Source organism: Homo sapiens, chromosome 1 (assembly GCF_000001405.40).
Source record: "Homo sapiens chromosome 1, GRCh38.p14 Primary Assembly".
Classification (NCBI taxonomy): domain Eukaryota; kingdom Metazoa; phylum Chordata; class Mammalia; order Primates; family Hominidae; genus Homo; species Homo sapiens.
This window is the reverse complement of record NC_000001.11, coordinates 62,687,571-62,711,713: the sequence shown is the minus strand read 5'-3', so window position 1 is coordinate 62,711,713 and position 24,143 is coordinate 62,687,571. Positions and strand designations below refer to the sequence as shown.

Sequence of the window (24,143 nt, the reverse complement as noted above, 5' to 3'; positions counted from 1 at the left end):
AAATTTTCCCTAAAAAGACGCAAGATGACATTACCTTGTGAGACACCTCTCTATGTGCTATCCATGGCACATGCTGTAATTCTATCCTTTTCTACTCAAGATAGACTGCTGTCAGAATGCAAATAAATAAGAGGGATACTATTATAGAGATGATCTTAATGCTTCAAAAGGCATGCCATAAAACATTGCTTTTTATATACTTCAAAATGAATAATTTTGTTGGACACTTAGACTGTTTCAAGGTTTTCACTATGATGAATGTGGTCCATTCTCTTTTTGTGACTTTCCTGTGGCAAGTTATTTTACTTCCCTGAGCCTCAGTTTGAGGCTCAATTTTTTTTTTTTTTTTTTTTTTGAGATAGAGTCTCACTGTGTCACCCAGGCTGGGGTGCAGTGGCGTGATCTCGGCTCACTGCAACCTCCACCTCCTGGGTTCAAGCGATTCTCCCGCCTCAGCCTCCCGAGTAGCTTGGACAACAGGCGCCTGCCAGCACGCCCAGCTAATTATGCCTATATTTAGCATTATGCCTATATTTAGCATTAATTTCTTAGGTTTGATTTAGAAATATGAACATTTCTAAAAATCACTCACCAACTGCTTTCCTTAAACTATTAATAATATCTTCTACCTATTGAACTCTTCCCATGTGCCAAACACTACAGAAAGTGCTTTACTGCATACATATTTAATTTGATCCTTATAATTAACTCAATGAGGTAGATATTATTTATTTCTATTATATAGATAAAGAAACTGAGGCTCAGAGAAGTAAAGTAACTTGCCACACGAAAGTCACAAAAAGAGAATGGACCACAGCTGCTGTTCATGGAACACAGCAAATTTATTGGTCAGAGAAGACAGAACTGAATCTAAGGCCACAGCATCTAGCTTCACCTCGCCGACTCCTAGCTATTCTTCAGTTTTCAGTTTATGCATCTCTGCCTATGGTGATCGTCTACATTACTCAGCCATATTTACTGCTAAATTACTAGAATGGAGCAAAATACTAGGCACAAAGTGGGCATTCAAATATGTTTTTATCATAAAGGTTTTAAGGGAAAGAGCAGATACACCAGAAAGAGTAAATAAATCAGTACTAACAAGAGAAAAATTCACAGATACTGATTTACACAGAGGGTAGGATTTCAAAGATCCTTCTATTCCCATCCATGTTCTTCCTGACACAGAAAGGACATGATGGGTTAGTCGTATGATTTGCACAATAAAAAGCACCATTAATGCAATATTTGAACTTTGCACACATTTGGTGTGAGAATCATTATTTATATTTGTTCTGCCTTGAAGAGCATTTGGGAACTTCATTGTCTTTTGAGGCTTGAAATATAGCAAACAGCACAGTGAACTCCCCTGCAACCCCCAAAAAAGAATGAGAATTAGGGAGGCTAGAATCAGAGTAGTAACAGAAGCTAACATCTGTACCAGGCACTGTGATAAATACTTTATATACATTATCTATTTAGGCCCCATAATAATCCTGTGATGCTACTATGTCTTGTATTATCATAATTATTTAACTGATCAGGAAACTGAAGGGTTGTGAAGTTAAACAAAATACTCAAGGTGACATAGTAACAATGTCTTAATTCTGACCCCTAAGTTCCTAAATACTATGCTATAAAGTACTCTTAGTAAGTTTGATGTCTCATAAAAATATATACTGTAAGGACACCCACAGTGAAGTTACATGTAAATGCAGAAAGATACAGGATAGAGCAGAGACAAGCTTTTAAAATGGCTGGAATCTGCTTAGCCAATCTGAATTTGTAGTAGTTGATTTGAGTTTGTATGATAGCCAGATCCACTGACTTGACCATACCAAAAGGGTTGCAAATGGAAAGAGTTTAGGTTTTTCACATAGCTCTTAATAGATTAGGCATTATTCACTAATAGATTAGGCATTATTCACTGTGATAATAAGGACAGGTAAGACATGAAGAAGGGAGCTGGGTAGTGGTGTGCAGCTGTAGTCCCTGCTGTGTGGGGGGCTGAGGTAGGAGGATCCCTTGAGCCCAGGAGGTCAAATCCAGCCTGGGTAACATAGCTAGATCTTCTCTCTGGAAAAAAAAAAAAAAAAAGTAAGCAGCAGCAGGAGGAAGAGACAGAGGATAGGAAGTAAAGTATAGGTAGTTATTAAACAGATTTTTAAACAATCCTAATCATAAAAGCAACAGCAGAAATAGCTAATCGTCACTGAGGCCTTACTATGTGTTAAGTCCCTGAATTATTTAATCTTATCCTTTCAACAACCAATAAAATAGGTGCCATTATTGCCCTCATTTAGGTTCCCTGACTCTAGCAAATGGCTAAATAATCCTACCAATAGAAATCTCTAGCTTTTGCATCTTTTTTTTTTTCTGGGAATATCTTTCACAGTGCTCCTGAACAATTTTTCTTTTCTTTTTCTTTTTTTTTTTTTTTTTGAGATACAGTCTCACTGTGTCACCCAGGCTGGGGTACAGTGGCGTGATCTCGGCTCACTGCAACCTCCACCTCCTGCGTTCAAGCGATTCTCCCGCCTCAGCCTCCGAGTAGCTTGGACGACAGTCGCCTGCCAGCACGCCCAGCTAATTTTTTTATTTTTAGTAGAGATGGAGTTTCACCATGTTGGGCAGGCTGGTCTCAAACTCCTGACTTCAGGTGATCCACCCACCTAGGCCTCCCAAACTGCTGGGATTACAGGTGTGAGCCACCACGCCCAGGACTGAATTAAGTTTTATTGTTCCCTCTTCTTGAAAAGCTCTCTTCCCTTGGCTTCTATGACACATCGCCACATTTTCCTACTTCCCTTGTCCTTTCTACCTGTCCTTGGGATTCCTTCTCCACTTTTGTCTTTAAAAATCTGGTTTCTCTCCTCAGCCTTTTCTTCTTTTTCTCAGTTGACCCATTGTGTCTTCTCTCATACCTTAAGTAACATCTGTTCTTACACTCTGTACATGCTGATGATTCCAAAGTCAGTCTACTGGACATTTCTGTCTGAATGCCTTGCATACACTTCATTTTATTTATTTTTGTTTTTGAGACGGAGTCTTCCTCTGTTGCTCAGACTGGAGTGCAGTGGTGTGATCTTGGCTCACTGCAACCTCTGCCTCCCAGGTTCAAGCAATTCTCCTGCCTCAGCCTCCTGAGTAGCTGGAATTACAGGCATGAGCCACTACACCCAGCTAATTTTTGTATTTTTAGTAGAGATGGGGTTTCACCACATTGGCCAGGCTGGTATCAAACTCTTGACCTCAAGTGATCCACCCATCTCGGCCTCAAAGAGTGCTGGGATTACAGGAGTGAGCCACCATGCCCGGCCTGTCTTACATACACTTTAAACTCAGCTTGTGCAAAACTGAATTATATTCTTCACTTATTCCCTGAATCTCTTCTCCCTCTTCTGTGCTCTTGCTCAGTAAATGTTATTCGCCATTATCCCTCCAGGTGCCCAAGTCAGAAACCTGGGTATCATGTTTGGCACCATCTCGGCCCTCACCTGTCATTTCTAATCCATAGCCAAGTCCTATCAACTCAACTTCCCAATTACTTCTCAAACTGGCCCAAGTCACCGCCACTACTTCAGTTTAGGTCTTTTTCTTTTCTTAGTTAGTATGATAGAAGCTTGCTAGTGGTCCTAAAGTTCATCCTGCCCTTTGTCTACGGTAATAAATCCCTGTTTTTAAACTGGGCACATGGCCTGACAAAATAAAACCTACATTTCCTAGCTATCCTTGCAGCTGTGCAATGTTCATGTGTCTAAATTCTGGCGAATGGGGGCTGGGCATAGTGGCTCACTTGAACTGCTACACCAGCCCTGGATTGCTTATGCTCAGCCTGTTAGGTGAGGAAAGAAGTTTTATCTTGTGCAAACCACTGTTATTTGAGTTTCTGTTACAGTAACAAAATCTATAGATTAATACTCTTAGTTTAATGCAACAGCCTTCTAATCAGTCTTCCTGCCCTGACTTTAACTTTGCTTCAACCCATTTTCTTCCTTAAATTCAGATTAATCATTGTCAAATTCAAATGTGATTATATTATTCCCTGCCACCCTCCACTTCCCATGCCATTTCCTTCAGTGTGTACTTTATATTCCTTAGCCCGGCATGCCAAACCCTTCATAAACTGGCCTCTGCCTTATCTCTCTAATCTTACTTGTAATCGCTCCCTACCTTGTATTCCAAGCTCCAACCATGCAGAACATTTGCAGTTTCACAGAACAAGCCAAGTTCTTGTACTTCAGTGCATCTGTGCATCTGGAAATGCAGTTTGCTCTGCGCAGAATGTCCATTCCCTACCCCTACTAGTTTCCCTGGTTAGGTGTTTCTACTTGTTAGGATTCAGGGCATCTCTTTTTGGAAGTTCTTCTTGACCACCCAAGAATCAGTTACAGTATCCTCTTATGTACTCCCAAAGTATTCTGTGCATATGTTTATCAAAGAATTGCTGGTTTACTTGTCTACTTCCCTCCCCAGCCCCCTTCCCTATCGATTGTTACTTCCTGGATAGCAATACCTATTTTCTCATTCACAGGTCTGTCACCAGGCCCTAGCACAAACCCTGGCATACAGTAGCACTTAAAAAATATTTACTCGGCTGGGCAGAGTGGCTCACACCTGTAATCCCAACACTTTGGGAGGGCGAGGTGGGTGGATCACCTGAGGTCAGGAGTTTGAGATCAGTCTGGTCAACGTGGTTAAACCCTATCTCTACTAAAAATACAAAAATTAGCCAGGTGTGGTGGTGGGCGCCTGTAATCCTAGCTACTGAGGCAGGAGAATCGCTTGAACCCGGGGAGGCGGAGGTTGCAGTGAGCCGAGACCATGCCACTGCCCTCCATCCTGGGTGACAGAGTAAGACTCTGTCAGGAAAAAAAAAAAAAGGCTGGGCGCAGTGGCTCACACCTGTAATCCCAGCACTTTGGGAGGCTGAGGCAGGCAGATCACAAGGTCAGGAGATCGAGACCATCCTGGCTAACATGGTGAAACCCTGTCTCTACTAAAAATACAACACAAAAAAGTTAGCCGGGTGTGGTGGTGGGCGCCTGTAGTCCCAGCTGCTCGGGAGGCTGAGGCAGAATGGCATGAACCCGGGAGGCGGAGCTTGCAGTGAGCCGAGATCAGGCCACTGCACTCCAGCCTGGGCGACAGAGCAAGACTCCGAAACAAAATTTTTTTTCTCACGGCTGGACATTGTGGCTCATGCCTATAATCTCAGCATTTTGGGAGGCTGAGGTGGGTGAACTGCTTGAGGCTAGGAGTTTGAGATCAGCCTGGGTAACATGGTAAAACCCCATCTATACTAAAAATAAAAAAATTAGTTGGGCATGGTGGTGCATGCCTGTAGTCCCAGCTATTGGGGAGGGTGAGGTGGGAGGATCACTTGAGCCCAGGGGGTAAAGGCTGCAGTGTGCCGAGATCGTGCCACTGCACTCCAGCCTGGGTGACAGAGCAAGACCCTGTATCAAAAACCACAACAACAACAACAACAACAACAACAACAACAACAACAACAACAACATTGTATTCAGTGAGTAAGTCAATGATGAATGGATTCCATGTAGTTATGACAATAGTACTTGAATAGAATACAGAGACCATAGTTTTGTGCCTGGTTTGGCCACTTCCTGGGTGGTTTTAGTTGAAACCATTTCACACTGCTTGAATTGAATCAGATAAGCTCCCAGGTTCCTTCCAGATATATGATTTATAAGTACATAATATAGTAAAAGTATGCAAACTTACAGAGCTGACAACCTTAAAGGACTGGCTAGGTGACTCTTGTATTAAAAAATACTTTGGACCTAGCGTGGTGGCTCAGGCCTGTAATCCCAGCACTTTGGGAGGCCGAGGCAGGCAGATCACGAGGTCAGGAGTTCGAGACCAGCCTGGCCAACATGGTGAAACCCTGTTTCTACTAAAAATACAAAAATTAGCCAGCATAGTGGCACACATCTGTAATCCCAGCTACTCAGGAGGCTGAGGCAGGAGATTTGCTTGAACCCAGAAGGCGGAGGTTGCAGTGAGCTGAGATCGTGCCATTGCCCTCCAGCCTGGGTGACAAGACCAAGACTCTGTCTCAAAAAACAAACAAACAAACAAAAACAAACTCTGGCTAGGCATGGTGGCACATGCCCATAGTCCTAGCTACTCGGGAGGCTGAGGCAGGAGAATCTCTTGAGCCCGGGGGTTCTAGGCTGCAGTGTGCTATGATTACCTGTGAATAGCCAATGGACTCCTGTCTGGGCAACACAGCAAGACCCCACCTCTTAAAAGAAAAACTTTGAAAAAACATGCCAAATAAAATGAACTTTTGTGGGTGTACCGCACTGTGTGTGAGCCAAAGCAGGGCAAGGCATCGCCTCACCTGGGAAGCACAAGGGGTCAGGGAATTCCCTTTCCTAGTCAAAGAAGGGGGTGACAGCCGGCACCTGGAAAATCAGGTCACTCCCACCCTTATAACTGAGCTTTTCCAATGGGCTTAACAAATGGCACACCAGGAGATTATATCCCACACCTAGCTCGGAGGGTCCTGTGCCCACAAAGCCTCACTCACTGCTAGCACAGCAGTCTGAGATCAAACTGCAAGGCAGCAGTGAGGCTGGGGGAGGGGTGCCTGCCATTGCTGAGGCTTGAGTAGGTAAACAAAGTGGCCGGGAAGCTCGAACTGGGTGGACCCCACCACATTTCAAGGAGGCCTGCCTGCCTCTGTAGGCTCCACCTCTGGGGGCAGGGCACAGACAAACAAAAGGCAGCAGTAACCTCTGCACACTTAAATGTACCTGTCTGACAGCTTTGAAGAGAGTAGTGGTTCTCCCAGCACACAGCTTGAGATCTGAAAACGGGCAGACTGCCTCCTCAAGTGGGTCCCTGAGCCCCGAGTAGCCTAACTGGGAGGCACCCCCAGTAGGGGAGGACTGACACCTCACACGGCTGGGTACTCCTCTGAGACAAAACTTCCAGAGAAATGATCAGGCAGCAGCATTTGCGGTTCACCAATATCCACTGTTCTGCAGTCACCGCTGCTGATACCCAGGCAAACAGGGTCTGGAGTGGGCCTCCAGCAAACTCCAACAGACCTGCAGCTGAGGGTCCTGACTGTTAGAAGGAAAACTAACAAACAGAAAGGACATCCACACCAAAAACCCATCTGTACGTCACCATCATCAAAGACCAAAGGTAGATAAAACCACAAAGATGGGGAAAAAACAGAGCAGAAAAACTGGAAACTCTAAAAATCAGAGCACCTCTCCTCCTCCAAAGGAGCGCAGCTCCTCACCAGCAACGGAACAAAGCTGGACGGAGAATGACTTTGACGAGTTGAGAGAAGAAGGCTTCAGAAGATCAAACTACTCTAAGCTAAAGGAAGAAATTCAAACCAATGGCAAAGAAGTTAAAAACCTTGAAAAATAATTAGACGAATGCCTAACTAGAATAACCAATGCAGAGAAGTCCTTAAAGGACCTGATGGAGCTGAAAACCACAGCACGAGAACTACGCGACGAATGCACAAGCCTCAGTAGCCGATGTGATCAACTGGAAGAAAGGGTATCAGTGATGGAAGACGAAATGAATGAAATGAAGCGAGAAGAGAAGATTAGAGAAAAAAGAATAAAAAGAAAGGAACAAAGCCTCCAAGAAATATGGGACTATGTGAAAAGACCAAATCTACATCTGATTGGTGTACCTGAAAGTGACGGGGAGAATGGAACCAAGTTGGAAAACACTCTGCAGGATATTACCCAGGAGAACTTCCCCAATCTAGCAAGGCAGGCCATTCAAATTCAGGAAATACAGAGAACGCCACAAAGATACTCCTCGAGAAGAGCAACTCCAAGACACATAATTGTCAGATTCACCAAAGTTGAAATGAAGGAAAAAATGTTAAGGGCAGCCAGAGAGAAAAGTTGGGTTACCCACAAAGGGAAGCCCATCAGACTAACAGCTGATCTCTCGGCAGAAACTCTACAAGCCAGAAGAGAGTGGGGGCCAATATTCAACATTCTTAAAGAAAAGAATTTTCAACCCAGAATTTCATATCCAGCCAAACTAAGCTTCATAAGTGAAGGAGAAATAAAATACTTTACAGACAAGCAAATGCTGAGAGATTTTGTCACCACCAGGCCTGCCCTAAAAGAGCTCCTGAAGGAAGCACTAAACATGGAAAGGAAAAACCGGTACCAGCGACTGCAAAATCATGCCAAATTGTAAAGACCATCAAGGCTAGGAAGAAACTGCATCAACTAATGCGAAAAATAACCAGCTAACATCATAATGACAGGATCAAATTCACACATAACAATATTAACCTTAAATATAAACGGGCTAAATGCTCCAATTAAAAGACACAGACTGGCAAATTGGATAAAGAGTCAAGACACATCAATGTGCCGTATTCAGGAAACCCATCTCACATGCAGAGACACACATAGGCTCAAAATAAAGGGATGGAGGAAGATCTACCAAGCAAATGGAAAACAGAAAAAGGCAGGGGTTGCAATCCTAGTCTCAGATAAAACAGACTTTAAACCAACAAAGATCAAGAGAGATAAAGAAGGCCATTACATAATGGTAAAGGGATCAATTCAACAAGAAGAGCTAACTATCCTAAATATATATGCACCCAATACAGGAGCACCCAGATTCATAAAGCAAGTCCTTAGTGACCTACAAAGAGACTTAGACTCCCACACAATAATAATGGGAGACTTTAACTCCCCACTGTCAACATTAGACAGATCAATGAGACAGAAAGTTAACAAGGATATCCAGGAATTGAACTCAGCTCTGCACCAAGCGGACCTAATAGACGTCTACAGAACTCTCCATCCCAAATCAACAGAATATACATTCTTTTCAGCACCACACCACACCTATTCCAAAATTGACCACATAGTTGGAAGTAAAGCACTCCTCAGCAAATGTAAAAGAACAGAAATTATAACAAACTGTCTCTCAGACCACAGTGCAATCAAACTAGAACTCAGGATCAAGAAACTCACTCAAAACCGCTCAACTACATGGAAACTGAACAACCTGCTCCCGAATGACTACTGGGTACATAACAAAATGAAGGCAGAAATAAAGATGTTCTTTGAAACCAACAAGAACAAAGACACAACATACCAGAATCTCTGGGACACATTCAAAGCAGTGTGTAGAGGGAAATTTATAGCACTAAATGCCCACAAGAGAAAGCAGGAAAGATCTAAAATTGACACCCTAACATCACAATGAAAAGAACTAGAGAAGCAAGAGCAAACACATTCAAAAGCTAGCAGAAGGCAAGAAATAACTAAGATCAGAGCAGAACTGAAGGAAATAGAGACACAAAAAGCCCTTCAAAAAATCAATGAATCCAGGAGCTGGTTTTTTGAAAAGATCAACAAATTGATAGACCGCTAGCAAGACTAATAAAGAAGAAAAGAGAGAAGAATCAAATACACGCAATAAAAAATGACAAAGGAGATATCACCACCAATCCCACAGAAATACAAACTACCATCAGAGAATACTATAAACACCTCTGTGCAAATAAACTAGAAAATCTAGAAGAAATGGATAAATTCCTTGACACATACACCCTCCCAAGACTAAACCAGGAAGAAGTTGAATCTCTGAATACACCAATAACAGGCTCTGAAATTGAGGCAATAATTAATAGCTTACCAACCAAAAAAAGTCCAGGACCAGATGGATTCACAGCCGAATTCTACCAGAGGTACAAGGAGGAGCTGGTACCATTCCTTCTGAAACTATTCCAATCAATAGAAAAAGAGGGAATCCTCCCTAACTCATTTTATGAGGCCAGCATCATCCTGATACCAAAGCCGGGCAGAGACACAACCAAAAAAGAGAATTTTAGACCAATATCCTTGATGAACATTGATGCAAAAATCCTCAATAAAATACTGGCAAACCGAATCCAGCAGCACATCAAAAAGCTTATCCACCATGATCAAGTGGGCTTCATCCCTGGGATGCAAGGCTGGTTCAACATATGAAAATCGATAAACGTAATCCAGCATATAAACAGAACCAAAGACAAAAACCACGTAATTATCTCAATAGATGCAGAAAAGGCCTTTGACAAAATTCAACAACCCTTCATGCTAAAAACTCTCAATAAATTAGGTATTGATGGGACGTATCTCAAAATAATAAGAGCTATCTATGACAAACCCACAGCCAATATCATACTGAATGGACAAAAAACTGGAAGCATTCCCTTTGAAAACTGGCAAATGCCCTCTCTCACCACTCCTATTCAACATAGTGTTGGAAGTTCTGGCCAGGGCAATTAGGCAGGAGAAGGAAATAAAGGGCATTCAATTAGGAAAAGAGGAAGTCAAATTGTCCCTGTTTGCAGATGACATGATTGTATATCTAGAAAACCCCATCGTCTCAGCCCAAAATCTCCTTAAGCTGATAAGCAACCTCAGCAAAGTCTCAGGATACAAAATCTATGTGCAAAAATCACAAGCATTCTTATACACCAATAACAGACAACCAGAGAGCCAAATCATGAGTGAACTCCCATTCACAATTGCTTCAAAGAGAATAAAATACCTAGGAATCCAACTTACAAGGGATGTGAAGGAGCTCTTCAAGGAGAACTACAAACCACTGCTCAATGAAATGAAAGAGGATACAAACAAATGGAAGAACATTCCATGCTCATGGATAGGAAGAATCAATATCGTGAAAATGGTCATACTGCCCAAGGTAATTTATAGATTCAATGCCATCCCCATCAAGCTACCAATGACTTTCTTCACAGAATTGGAAAAAACTACTTTAAAGTTCATATGGAACCAAAGAAGAGCCCACATTGCCAAGTCAATCCTAAGCCAAAAGAACAAAGCTGGAGGCATCATGCTACCTGACTTCAAACTATACTACAAGGCTACAGTAACCAAAACAGCATGGTACTGGTACCAAAACAGAGATATAGACCAATGGAACAGAACAGAGCCCTCAGAAATAACGCCGCATATCTACAACTATCTGATCTTTGACAAACCTGACAAAAACAAGAAATGGGGAAAGGATTCCCTATTTAATAAATGGTGCTGGGAAAACTGGCTAGCCATATGTAGAAAGCTGAAACTGGATCCCTTCCTTACACCTTATACAAAACTGAATTCAAGATGGATTAAAGACTTACATGTTAGACCTAAAACCATAAAAACCCTAGAAGAAAACCTAGACAATACCATTCAGGACATAGGCATGGGCAAGGACTTCATGTCTAAAACAACAAAAGCAATGGCAACAAAAGCCAAAATTGACAAATGGGATCTAATTAAACTAAAGAGCTTCTGCACAGCAAAAGAAACTACCATCAGAGTGAACAGGCAACCTACAGAATGGGAGAAAATTTTTGCAACCTACTCATCTGACAAAGGGCTAATATCCAGAATCTACAATGAACTCAAACAAATTTAGAAGAAAAAAATAAACAGCCCCATCAAAAACTGGGCAAAGGATATGAACAGACACTTCTCAAAAGAAGACATTTATGCAGCCAGAAAACACATGAAAAAATGCTCATCATCACTGGCCATCAGAGAAATGCAAATCAAAACCACGATGAGATACCATCTCACACCAGTTAGAAGGGCGATCATTAAAAAGTCAGGAAACAACAGGTGCTGGAGAGGATGTGGAGAAATAGGAACACTTTTACACTGTTGGTGGGACTGCAAACTAGTTCAACCGTTGTGGAAGTCGGTGTGGCGATTCCTCAGGGATCTAGAACTAGAAATACCATTTGACCCAGCCATCCCATTACTGGGTATATACCCAAAGGATTATAAATCATGCTGCTATAAAGACACATGCACGCGTATGTTTATTGTGGCACTATTCACAATAGCAAAGACTTGGAACCAACCCAAATGTCCAACAATGACAGACTGGATGAAGAAAATGTGGCACATATACACCATGGAATACTATGCAGCCATAAAAAAGGATGAGTTCATGTCTTTTGCAGGGACATGGATGAAGCTGGAAACCATCATTCTCAGCAAACTATCGCAAGGACAAAAAACCAAACACTGCATGTTCTCAGTCATAGGTGGGAATTGAACAATGAGAACACATGGACACAGGAAGGGGAACATCACACACCAGGGACTGTTGTGGGGTGGGGGGAGGGGGAGGGATAGCATTACGAGATATACCTAATGCTAAATGATGAGTTAATGGGTGCAGCACACCAACATGGCACATGTATACATATGTAACAAACCTGCACATTGTGCACATGTACCCTAAAACTTAAAAGTATAATAATAATAAAATTTAAAAAATGAACTTTTATTGCAATATTTAAATTATTTCTACTTGTAGCTTTAAAAACTATTTTTGTAGAATCAATTATTTTCACAAAATCCTTCAAAAGTATCTATTATAATCTCTGAGAAGTAGAGAAGGTAAAAATAAGAGATATTGGGTAATTTATTACATCTAGAAGCAGGGACAGAAGCAGAGTCAGAATCTGATTCAGAATGGACTTGAAAGAATATCCCACCTTTGGTAAAAGAGTCATGTGGTATAATAAAGCTAAAACAGTCAAGAAAGCAGAGAACTAAAACAAATTGCAGATAGATTAAAACAGCAAATACTAGGCTGGGTGCGGTGGCTCACACCTGTAATCCCAGGACTTTGGGAGGCCAAGGCGGAAGGATAGCTTGAGCCCAGGAGTTCCAGACCAGCCCGGGCAATATAGTGAGACCTTATCTCTACTAAAAATTAAAGGTAGAGACAAGGCTGGGCACGGTGGTTCATGCCTGTAGTCCCAGCTACTTGGATGCTAGGGCAGGAGGACCGCTTGAGCTCAGGAGAGTGAGGTTGCAGTGAGCCATGAACATGCCACTGCACTGCAGCCTGGGTGACAAAGCAGGACTCTGTCTCAAAATAAATAAATAAACAAACAAATAATTTTTTAAAAAATAATAAAAAGTAAAGAAACAAAACAGCAAATACCAGAGCTAAGGTATAAAATGACATTCTATTTCAGAACCACATGATTATTGGCTTGGCAGCATTCTTTTTTTTTTTTTTTTGAGACAGTTTCGCTCTTGTTGCCCAGGCTGGAGTGCAATGGCGCCATCTCGGCTCACTGCAACCTCTGCCTCCTGGGTTCCAGCGATTCTGCTGCCTCAGCTTCCCAAGTAGCTGGGATTACAGGGATGGGCCACCACACCCAGCTAATTTTGTATTTTTAGTAGAGACAGGGTTTCTCCATGCTGGTCAGGCTGGTCTCTAACTCCTGACCTCAGGTGATCCGCCTGCCTCGGCCTTCCAAAGTGCTGGGATTACAGGTGTAAGCCACTGTGCCCGGCTTGGCAGCATTCTTAAGTGGTAATCATCTACCTTTTCCCTACCTTTAAGCAAGGCTATGCCTAAGTAGTCCCCAAACAAATAATGCAAATCTTTAAAGTATTTGGAAAAAGAATATCCTACAATTCTTTTTCTATACTTGTACAAGTACCATACGATAATGGTAACAGAGAAATGTTATTTACCTTAGCAATCCTCTAATTTTATCACCTTTATTTTATAGCTGAAGAAAGAGAGGCCCAGAAAGTTTGTGATTTGCTCAAAACTTTATAGTAAGATTGTGGCAGAGCCAGAACTAAAACCCCACTTTTTCTCATCTTCAGTCCCCTGCTCCCTCTGTTTCAAGAGGGATTATGACTTTCAGCACCTTCCCCATTTGGTTCTCCGTATTTCTTGGTAAGTTTTCAATATGGTCCCTAGTTCCCTATCCAAGGCCTTATCTCCTAGTTCATGGAGTGAACCATTTCCAGCAATGTGGGATCATACATTCAAGATTCTCATCCTTACCTGGCTGTAGTAGGCAGTTCTACCAAGATTCCTGTCCCTGGCATACATGTCCTGTATAGGCTCTCCCGTTTCATGTGGGCAGGCCTTATGGATATGAGATAGCCGATTGCTTGATAGTTTACATTATACAACAAAGGGGACCATCACTTTTGGTCAGGCAGTGGCAAAAAACTAATATACTAGCCTTACATCATTACATTTAGTGAGAAAATGAAATGCTGAATTAAGCTCCCTCAACTTCCCTTATTTCCACCTCTAAAATGCTGTGTGGTTTTCCAACCTTTTCTTCCCTCCCAAGCAGGTGAAAGATACCTCTTTCTTTTCAAGATTATCAAAAGTATCTCTCAATATTTTCACTTTTTCTCACTCCTCTAGTCCTCCCCCATAACCTACAAACATGTACAGTCTCCCACCTGACAGAACCTTTCCATGACTGCAACTCTTTTGAACTTTGATGTTTCTGTCCTTTCTCTGTGTGAGACCTGCTTGTCCCAGATCTGCCCTACTGTTCCTAAAGAACACTGGGCTCATCTCTGCCCAGATCCATAATCAGTAATGTCCAGCAGGTCTCACTCAGTTCTCAGCTCAGTGAAATAAAATGAGAATGGTGCACAATAGGGCACTATAGACATTGGTTCCAAGACGGCCTTTGGCCAGACAGTTCCTCTACTTGTGTGATTACTCTAACCTCTGGCTGCTTAGACCTTTTAGACTGGCTTCATGATTGATTCATTCTCTGAGCTAAGCTTTCAACCCTTTCTTCTCTAATCAGTAAGTTGTCTTCTCTCTTCTGACATAATACTCATTTGAGGGCCTTTTTTCAACTTATAAAAAACGATGTAATGAAACCCCATATTCTCTTACCCAGCTTCAACACCCATCAACAGAAACCCATGTTGGGTTATTTTTAAAGCAAATGTCATACCTTATATCATTTTCTCCCAAAATAAATACTGGATTACGTCAATCAGCATAATGTTTTCAAAGTCCATCCATATTTCAGCATGTACCAGTATTTTATTTCTTTTTATTTCTGGAATAATATCCTTGTATTAGTTCATTCTCATGCTACTATGAAGAAATACCTGAGACTGGGTAATTTATAAAGAAAAGAAGTTTAATTTACTCACAGTTCCACATAGCTGTAAGCCTCAGGAAACTTACAATCGTGGCGGAAGGCACTCTTCACAGGGCAGCAGGAGAGAATGAGTGCAAGCAGGGGAAATGCCAGATGGTTATAAAACCATCAGCTCTTGTGAGACTATCACAAGAACAGCATGGGAGAAACCACCATGATCTGATTTCCTCCACCTGGACATGTGGGGATTAGAGTTCAAGATGAGATTTTGGGTGAGGACATAGCCAAATCACATCAATCCCATTGAATGGATACACATTTTATTTATCCTTTCATCAGCTGATGGACATTAGGGTTGTTTCTACTTTTTGGCTATTATGAATTATGCTTTTATGAATATTGGTGTACAAGTTTCTCTATCTATCTATCTATCTATCTATCTATCTATCTATCTATCTATCTATCTTCATTTCTCTTGGGTATATTTCTAGGAGTGGAATTCCTAGGTCATATAGTAACTTATGTTTAACCTTTTAAGGAGTTGATAGAATGTTTTCCAAAGTGACTGCACCATATTACATTCCCACCAGTTGTATATGAGAACTCCAATTTCTCCACACCCTCATCAACTCTTATTAATATCTGTCCTTATGATTCTAGTCAGTCTAGTGGCTGTGAGGTGGCATCTCACTGTGGTTTTAATTTGCATCTCCCTGATCGATACTGATGTTGATCATCTTTTTATATGTGTGCTGGCCATCTGCATATGCATATCTTCTTCAGAGAAATGTCTATTCCAATTGTTTGCCAAGTTTAAAACTGGGTTGTCTTTTTATTATTGACTTATAAGAGTTCTTTATATATATTCTTGATGTAAGTTTCTTATTAGATAAACAATTTGTAAAAATTTTTCTCCCATTCTGTGGGTGGTCTTTTCAATTTGATGGTGTCCTTGAAGCACAAAAACTTTACATTTTGATTATGTCCAATTTACCTCTTGTTGCTTATATGCTTACTCTACTTCTAATATTTTTTTATTCCTTGAAATTTATTTGTTAAAGGAACTTGGTCATTATGTCCTATAAAATTTCCCGTATTTTGAATTTTGCTAATTTTAACCCAAGCATATTGTTTGACATGTTCTTTCATCTCCTATATTTTCTATAAACAGAACAAGCATTAGCTTTAAATATCTGCCAGGAATGTTTCATAGGTGATGCTGTATACATCCTATACATCTTCCATAGATGTATCATCTTACACTCCCTTCTTTATATCATGTGATGAGGCACATAGTGCCTCTGGTGTGTTTGACTGGTTAACTCTGGGTGTGTGTGTGTTTGATGTTAAGATTCATCAGTGGGTTCTGGTCTTATCAGCCTGATCCAACCATTTAAAGTTCCCCATAAGGCTCTTATCTAATGGTTTAGCAGCAATGATCTTTGGATCAGTGCTGTCCAACAGATCTTCATATGATAATGGAAATGTTCTGTCTGTATACTGTCCAGTATGGCAGCCCTTAGCCACCTGTGGCCTACTGAATACTTAAAATATGCCTAATAAAACTGAAAACTCAATTTTTAGTTTTATTTAATGAATTTAAGTGGCCACATGTGGCTTGTGGCTACGGTATTGGATTATACAGGTTTAGCTTAATTATTTCATCTGAGTCTGCATTTCTTAGCTGAAATTCTTTTAAAAGAATTTTACTTCATCAAATATGACTACCTTGAAATATAGCTGGATACTGTAAAATCTATACTTGGTCTTCATTCCATTTCCTGGCATAAAACTCATAAAATCCTTGTGATTTCCAAAGGAATAATTTTTTTGTATGCTAATAAAATGACTGGTGGCTGGCAGCTTCTGTGTAGCTTCAGGATGGGGGCTGGTAAAAGACGATTAGAGGTTTAGGACTGATACCGTTTGGCTCTGTGTCCCTGCCCAATTCTCATCTTGTAGCTCCCATAATTCCCATGTGTTGTGGGAGGAACCTGGTGGGAGATGACTGAGTCACGGGGGCGGGTCTTTCCCGTGCTGTTGTTGTGATTGTGAATAGGTCTCAGAAGATCTGATAGTTTTAAAAATGGGAGTTTCTTTGCACAGGCTCTCTCTTTGCCTGCTGCCATCCATGTAAGACGTGACTTGCTCCTCCTTGCCTTCTGCCGTGATTGTAAGGCCTCCCCAGCCAGGTAGAACTGTAAGTCCATTAAACCTCTTAATTCTGTAAATTGCCCAGTCTCAAGTATGTCTTTATCAACAGCATGAAAACGGATTAATACAGGACTTTTTAGCCCTACCACCTAACCTCCAGGAAGGGGAGAGGGGCTGAAAATTAAGTTGATCATCAGTGGCCAGTGATTTAGTTGATCATGCCTCTGTAATGAGGCCTCTACCAAAACCCAGAGAGCTGAACATGTAGAGGTTTCTGGAGGGTGGTGCACCTAGAGAAGGCATGGAAGCTCTGCGCTCCTTCCCACATGCCTTGCCCTATGCATCTTTTCTACTTATCCTTTGTAATATCTTTTATAATAAACTGGTAAATATTAATATTCCCCTGTGTTCTGCTCTAGTATATTAATCAAACTCAAGGAAAGGGGTTGTGGGAACCCCAACTTACAGTCAGTCAAAGCACTGGTAGAACAACCTGTGGCTTGCAATTGGCACTGGATGTGGGGGGCAGTCTTGTGGGACCAAGCCCTCAACCTGTGGGATCTGACGCTAACTCCAGGTAGACAGTGTCAGAACTGAACTTCAGGTAGATTCCAGAACTCCAGAACGGAATTGGAGGAGACTCAACTGGTGTCTGCTGCAGAATCGATTGCTTGCTTGATGTATGGGGAAAAAAATCCCACATATCTGGTGTCAGAAGCATGTTGTTAGAGTATGGGAAAAACTGTTTTTTTCTACTGATATAATAGTCCATTGAGGAAAAACATTATGGACCTATTTTTAAAGTAGGCACTGAGCTTGCATTGTGGGCCATTTTGACTCAGGTGGTCTGGCCTTTTGGTCTTTCCCAATTCTGTAAAGCAGCAGAACCATGAGGTGCAAATACGTTCTATTCTGGCAAGATCCCTATTGTAGTCTCTGCATTACTTTCAGGGGATCTGTAATAGACACTGTTGGTACCCTGTACTTCACCCCATGGCTCCTTTCCGATTTTAGGTGTAGCTGTGGTGAACAATTCTCAGGGGCACTGATAGCTGGCCACCAGAAACACACACCATGTCTCTTAGCTTTTTGTAGTATTAAGTGTGCGGGCAGTTAATATTCCAATAGTAAGCCTTCAGCCAAGAGATCTAGATGGCATCAGGTAAATACTGAGCCTCAAAGAGACAATTCTGAGGTGCACTCCACACTTTACGCAGGTTGCAGGCGGGATTGAGCCTAAATTGCCCACAGTGGTAACACCTCAACAACACTATTTACTGGCTTTCCCTTCTCTGTTCTACTCTCTCCACTTCCTCATTCCAGCTTCTTAGCATCACTTCCTAATAAACTACCTGCATCCAAGCCTCAAGCTCTATTTTTGGGGAAATATAAATTAAGGCAGTGATATGGTTAGGCTTTGTGTCCCCACCCAAATCTCATCTTGAATTGTAATCCCCATAATCCCCACGTGTCAAAGAAGAGACCAGGTGGAGGTAATTGAATCATGGGGACGGTTTCCCCCATACTGTTTTTGTGATAGTGAGTGAGTTCTCAGGAGATCTGATGGTTTTATAAGGACTCTTCCCCCTTTGCTTGGCACTTCTCCGTCCTGCTGCTTTGTGAAGAAGCTGCCTTGCTCCCCCTTCACCTTCCACCATGGTTGTAAGTTTCCTGAGGCCTCCCCAGCCATGCTGAACTGTTAGTCAATTAAACCCCTTTCCTTTACAAATTACTTAGTCTTGGGCAGTTCTTTATAGCAGTATGAAAACGGATGAATACAGGCAGGATCTAAAAATACTTTAGTTCATGGCATTTATTCACTCAAAAACATTTACTAAGTTATTATAATGGACCAGGCAGTGTATTAGATACTGGAAATACAATGGTGAACAAGAGATCAAGTTCGATGGGGTGCAAAGATTAACAGACAATACTTCAATAGTGTGGTGAGTATTACAACAAAGTAAATGTGGGTGCTATTAGTTGTTAAGTATGGCCAGGTTGAGGACCCCTTAATTTCCCCCTGCAAAAATTACACTTGCTAGATATTGACAGGAAGTGAAGCACATAGGACAAAGTCAGGCAAAAGCATCTGTAGCTTAGATTTAGTGTCCAACTCCTAGGCTTTAGTTTGGGATTGAGGTAAACCCACATATCATGCCTCAGTTCTCCCTTTCTCTGGGCCACATTCATTTGGCCTTGCTAGAGGCTTCCAAAGAAGGAAGCTCCATGTTGATCTTATTGTATGAAACCAGCGGTGTTTCATAAAAACCCATGCCTGGCCGGGCGCAGTGGCTCATGCCTGTAATCCCAGCACTTTGGGAGGCCGAGGCTGGTGGATCACGAGGTCAGGAGATCGAGATCATCTTGGCAAACACAGTGAAACCCCATCGCTACTAAAAATAAAAAAAAATTAGCCGGGCATTGTGGCGGGCACCTGTAGTCCCAGCTACTCGGGAGGCTGAGGCAGGAGACTGGTGTGAACCCGGGAGGCGGAGCTTGCAGTGAGCCAAGATTGCACCACTGCACTCCAGCTGGAGCTACAGAGTGAGAGTCCGTCTCAAAAAAAAAAAAAAGCCCATGCCTGAAAAAAAGGAACCATTCCCTATGCTCCCCCAAATCCCAAAAGAGAACACATTCTGCCTGCAAAGCCAGAACTTAATCCATCATGACCCGAAAACTCTATTTCTTTGTACTGTAGCCTTAGACCCTTGACCAGACCCCTCCACAATCCTCCTTGGTGCTACATTAAAGCGGGTAGACCCAAGTTCAATAAAGGGTAGAATGCAAAACTCATAATTTTCCCACCTTCTTTTCTCTTTACTTTTTTTTTTCTGTCATATCCCTAAGTTTTCTGCTTGAGGGACTTAGTACACTGGTATGTCTAATGAAAACTGTTCTGAGGCTTTCTTACCTAAAACTCACTGTTTTGAGTAGACTCTGCCAAATTGGTCCTGGCTTCTGGCAAGTAGTTTCTTTGTATCTTTCCATCAGTGGGGAGCTTGGGCCCTGAATTCTGAATTGGGCTACTCATGCTCCCGGAGTTGCAGCCAGCCTTTCTCCTAGGTTATATAACAGGGCTAAGGACAGGGTTAAATTCCATCCAGTTTTTAACACCTCATATTTGAGAACTGGTGCTATCAAGAATTTATATGCACTCCAATAGCTTCCTTAATTTTTCCTGTCTCAGCATGTAACTTACTATTTACTTACTTTTCTCTTCTACCAGACCCTAAACTCTTTGAGGACAGAAATACTGCGCTATTTACCACTATATTTCCAGGGTCTAGTATAGTACTTAATGAATGTTAGTTAACTGAATGAAGTCCTGTATCAGGTAAGACTTTGAACTGCTAATGAAAGCAAACCTAATGAAAAACCAGCCACACCCCCAAAAAAATTCCAGCACATTTTTAGCTCATGTAACTGCAAAGTCCAAGGCTCAAGTCATGCTATATTCTAAGGAACTTGTCTTTTTCAATATTTTTGCTCTCCTCTCTGCTGTGCTTGGCTTCATTCTCAGGTAGGCCTTCTTTAGATGGAGTGCCCTGGTATACCAAATGCAATTTCTAATTCTGGTTGGGCCCGATTGTCTTGGTTTGATTCATGAGCCTATCCCTAAATCAGTTACAGAAGCCAGAGGAGTGTGCTGCTTTGCTTGGTGAGGCCCAGGTCAAAAGACCCTTGAAACTGAGGGTGGTGGAGTGAGCTCCCCAGAAGTATAGTGGATTGACACCTGTGTGTGTGTGTGTGTGTGTGTGTGTGTGTGTGTGTGTGTAGGGGGTGGTATAGGGAGCATGGATGCTAGTCAGCTGAAGCAATTCCACTGTCACTCCCATTGCTGCGTTCCATATCTTTTCCTGACATTGAAACCCTGTGGGGCAGGGATACCAGCCAACATGACTTGGTCTGTGACTGCCAGCTCTTCCCCAGAGGTAGGGGGTCACCCTTCCTGCTTAGAGTGTTCCCCAGACTCTGAATTACCCTGCTTACAGCGTGATCCTGCTTGTCCTCTTCCTGCTCTAAATGTTTCCAGTAAGCTGCAGAGTACATGCAAAGTCCTTTCAGACACTTTGGCAACTAGTGAGTCATGTATACAAAGAACTATTCAAAGCAAAATGTGGCCAGTTCTCTAAGAGAGTAGTGAAAAGATGTTTGGAGAACAGAGATAAAGGCATGCAACATCTGGCTGGGAGTATGAGAGCAGACAACCAATTCAGGGACTATCAAACACCCAGGACAAGCTTAAGTATAGGATGAATAATGACAGTAACAGTGATAATAATAACAACAGCTGACACACATCGTACTTACCATGAACCAGGCCCTGTTCTAAGAACTTTATATTAATCAATTCAATAAATCTTCACAACACCCTTTCAAGTAGATATAATTATTTTCCTCCTTTTAGAGATGAAGTTAAGTAGCTTGCCTAAGGTTACAGAGTAAGAAAGTGGCAAAATAAGTCTGGGTTCCTATCACAGAGGGTCTTAAAAGCCAGGTACAGTGATAGCCTTGACTTACAGTCTGTGAGTACCTGGTTCATCTTTCCCAATGGACTCAAACATTCTGAGAGCAGGTCTGTGTCTAGTTCACCTTCGTGTTTTTTAGAACACCTAGGTGGGCTCTATACTTAGGTAGAAGCCAAATATCTGTCCTCTTTGAATAGACTATCTTTTCCTTTAGTAAACAAGCATCTGAAAACAGTGTGTTACTGGAGGGCGCCTTGGCAAGAGCCTGTGGTACTAGCTACTCCTCCAGAGGCTGAGGCAAGAGGATTGCTTGAGCCTAGGAGTTTTAGGCTGCAGTGCCCTATGCATTCCATGCTTGAGCAACACAGGGGGATTCTGTCTAAAATAAATAAATCAATAAATAAAAGCAGTGTGTTACTGCAATGAGCATTGTTATATAAATACACAGTCTTCCACAGAAGTTACAGCACTAGACAGGAAGTTATGGATCTGACTAATTGAGGCTTTCACCTCTGACTCAGTGTGTGACTCTGGCAAGTGACCTAATGGCTCCAAGCTACAGATTTTCCAATGGTAAAAGAGAGGAAAACAGGTATCCAACATATTCCACCAGGACATACTGAGAATATAATAATAACAATAAATAAATACACATTTTAAGTTCTTGCAATACTTAAGAGGAAAGGTACTACAAGAAACCAAGATATTTTTCTTAGTGTCACCATAATTTCAGTATCAACAGATATGCATTAGGAGCCAAATATTCTAGACATTATGGGATTACAACAGAACAGATGAAAACAAATCTCTGCTAGTCTCTGTTTTATAGGCTATTATGGACAAGGTCAGTTTCAGTGGTCAACACAGAGCTTATTTAACAGAACATCAAAATGGGGGTGAACGTTAGAGCTCACCTGGATTTTATATATATATATATATATATATATATATATATATATATATATATATATATGTATGTATGAGAGACAGAGAGAGATCCAAAAGGGGTTAATAATACGGAAACAACTGTCCTCAAAGAAAAGAACCGGCTCTGGGTTTGAGTCTCAGTGGAAGAGTTTACCATCTGTGCGACCTGGGGCCAGTCACTTAGCTTTTCCAAGCCAATTTCCTTCCCTCTAAAATAGTGATAGTAACGATCTACTTCAAAGCGCTCGTGCTTGAAAAACTTTAATCCAGTGGCTGGCTAAGCACCAGAAGTCAACTATTACTATTGTTATCGCTGCAGGAGCAAGGTATTTTCTGGCTCTTTCTCTATAAGAAAAACCACTGTTTCTCCAGTTAGGCTGCATTCATGAGGCCGAAGCAGAAACCCAAGTGCTTTAAAAAGCTCGGAGACCGGTGCTGCAGAAACATGAACCCAGTCATCCAGGGCTTTGGTTAAAGCACAGCCCCCTCGGCAAAGCCCACCTTTCATTTCCTTCCCTTCCATTTCGGGAAAGCCAAGCTCCCCCTACGCGTTCGGTTATCTTATTTTCTTGCCTCGCCAGGTCGCTGGCCTGTCTCTGGCTTCTCTCCGCGACCTCTCGGTCGTGCAGGCTCCGCGGCAGCGAAGCGGCTGGGGCTGGCGCCTCGCTTCCTCAGCGCTCCATTCTTCCCCTCGGCTCCCGCCGGCCGCAGCCGCCTTCCGCAGCCGGGGTTCCCGCCGGGATTGACGCGCTGGGGGAGGAGCGGTTTCTCGTTGCGCGCCTCTAAGGAACATTACGGCAGGGCTCGTTCCTGGCTCCGGCCGCCAGCCCCAGCCTCCCAGGTCCGGAGCCCGGACTGGCGGAGGCCGCGAGGGAGGGAGCACGAGCGAGGAGGCACGCGCCCGCCGGTCCGCACCCGGCCCGCCGCAGCCGCCGCCGCCGTCGCCGTCGCCGCAGCAGCCATGGCCGAGCGCCGCGCCTTCGCCCAGAAGATCAGCAGGTAAATATCCGGCGTGGGGCGCGCCGCCGCCGCCGCCCGAGAAAGAGCCGCGGAGTCCTCCCAGGCCTGGCCTAGGAGGCGGGTGGGTGTGGCGGGGCCGGCACCGGGATCCCGCGGCCTGGCTCGCGGCGGGGCGGAAGGGGTTCGGGGTGGCTGAGGGGGTAGCGGAGGCCTCGCGCCGCCCTCGAACCCCGGCCTTCAGCCCGCGCCCGCCGCTGAGCCTCGGCAGGGAGCGGAGAGGGCCGCGGACTCCAGCGCGCCCGCCTCCTCCTGCTCCTCGGCGGCCCGGGCCTGGACTTCTGCGGAGGTTTATGGAAGGGCGGTCGGCCGCTTCCCAAATTCTTTGTGTTCCCACCCCCGGGCTCGTCGGGGGCCGCCGCGGCGTTTCGCCCCCTCCCGTCTCTCCGCCCACCCCTCTTGGCCCCTAGAGGGTGCGGGGTCCGCCCTCCTCCACCCCAACAAAAGGAGAAACGCGCGGCGGCTCGGGGCGGGTGGGAGGCCGCCCCTCCTTCACGCGTCTCTCTCTTCCTGAGAAATCTGACAGGAACCCTCTTTGCACCCTCGGGCCAGGTTCAAAGTGGACTTGTGCGTCCAGGATTGAAAACGTGTGGACAGAATGAAAAGTTGAGAGCTGCGGGCTGCACCTTCGGTGTGCA

At 43.2% G+C, this 24,143-nt stretch overlaps 1 protein-coding gene and 1 long non-coding RNA gene across 16 annotated transcripts in view, besides 2 other annotated features; one reads left to right on the top strand and one right to left on the bottom strand.

Moving 5' to 3' along the window:
- Window positions 1-1,019: 1,019 nt before the first annotated feature.
- DOCK7-DT (DOCK7 divergent transcript) lies at window positions 1,020-23,232 on the bottom strand. Its single transcript, NR_185999.1, has 2 exons — window positions 23,062-23,232; window positions 1,020-2,076 (listed from the first exon to the last, which is right to left on the bottom strand). It is a non-coding gene; the product is annotated as a DOCK7 divergent transcript (long non-coding RNA).
- Window positions 21,922-22,216: an enhancer, noted in NCBI's record as "tiled region #4934; HepG2 Activating DNase unmatched - State 2:TssF". NCBI's record gives its function as "activates a minimal TATA promoter and a strong SV40 promoter by Sharpr-MPRA in HepG2 cells {active_cell/tissue: HepG2}" and the evidence as "EXISTENCE:reporter gene assay evidence [ECO:0000049][PMID:27701403]".
- Window positions 23,226-23,975: a silencer, noted in NCBI's record as "silent region_946". NCBI's record gives its function as "represses an Ori minimal core promoter by ATAC-STARR-seq in GM12878 lymphoblastoid cells {active_cell/tissue: GM12878}" and the evidence as "EXISTENCE:reporter gene assay evidence [ECO:0000049][PMID:35858748]".
- Window positions 23,328-24,143, top strand: part of DOCK7 (dedicator of cytokinesis 7) — a 233,661-nt gene continuing 232,845 nt past the window's right edge. For all 15 annotated transcript variants that reach the window (XM_047432967.1, NM_001272001.2, NM_001272000.2 and 12 more), the window contains exon 1: window positions 23,328-23,487. In XM_047432967.1, the coding sequence (XP_047288923.1) occupies window positions 23,450-23,487 (38 nt within the window). In that variant the 5' untranslated portion in view covers window positions 23,328-23,449. The remainder of the gene's footprint in view (window positions 23,488-24,143) is intronic.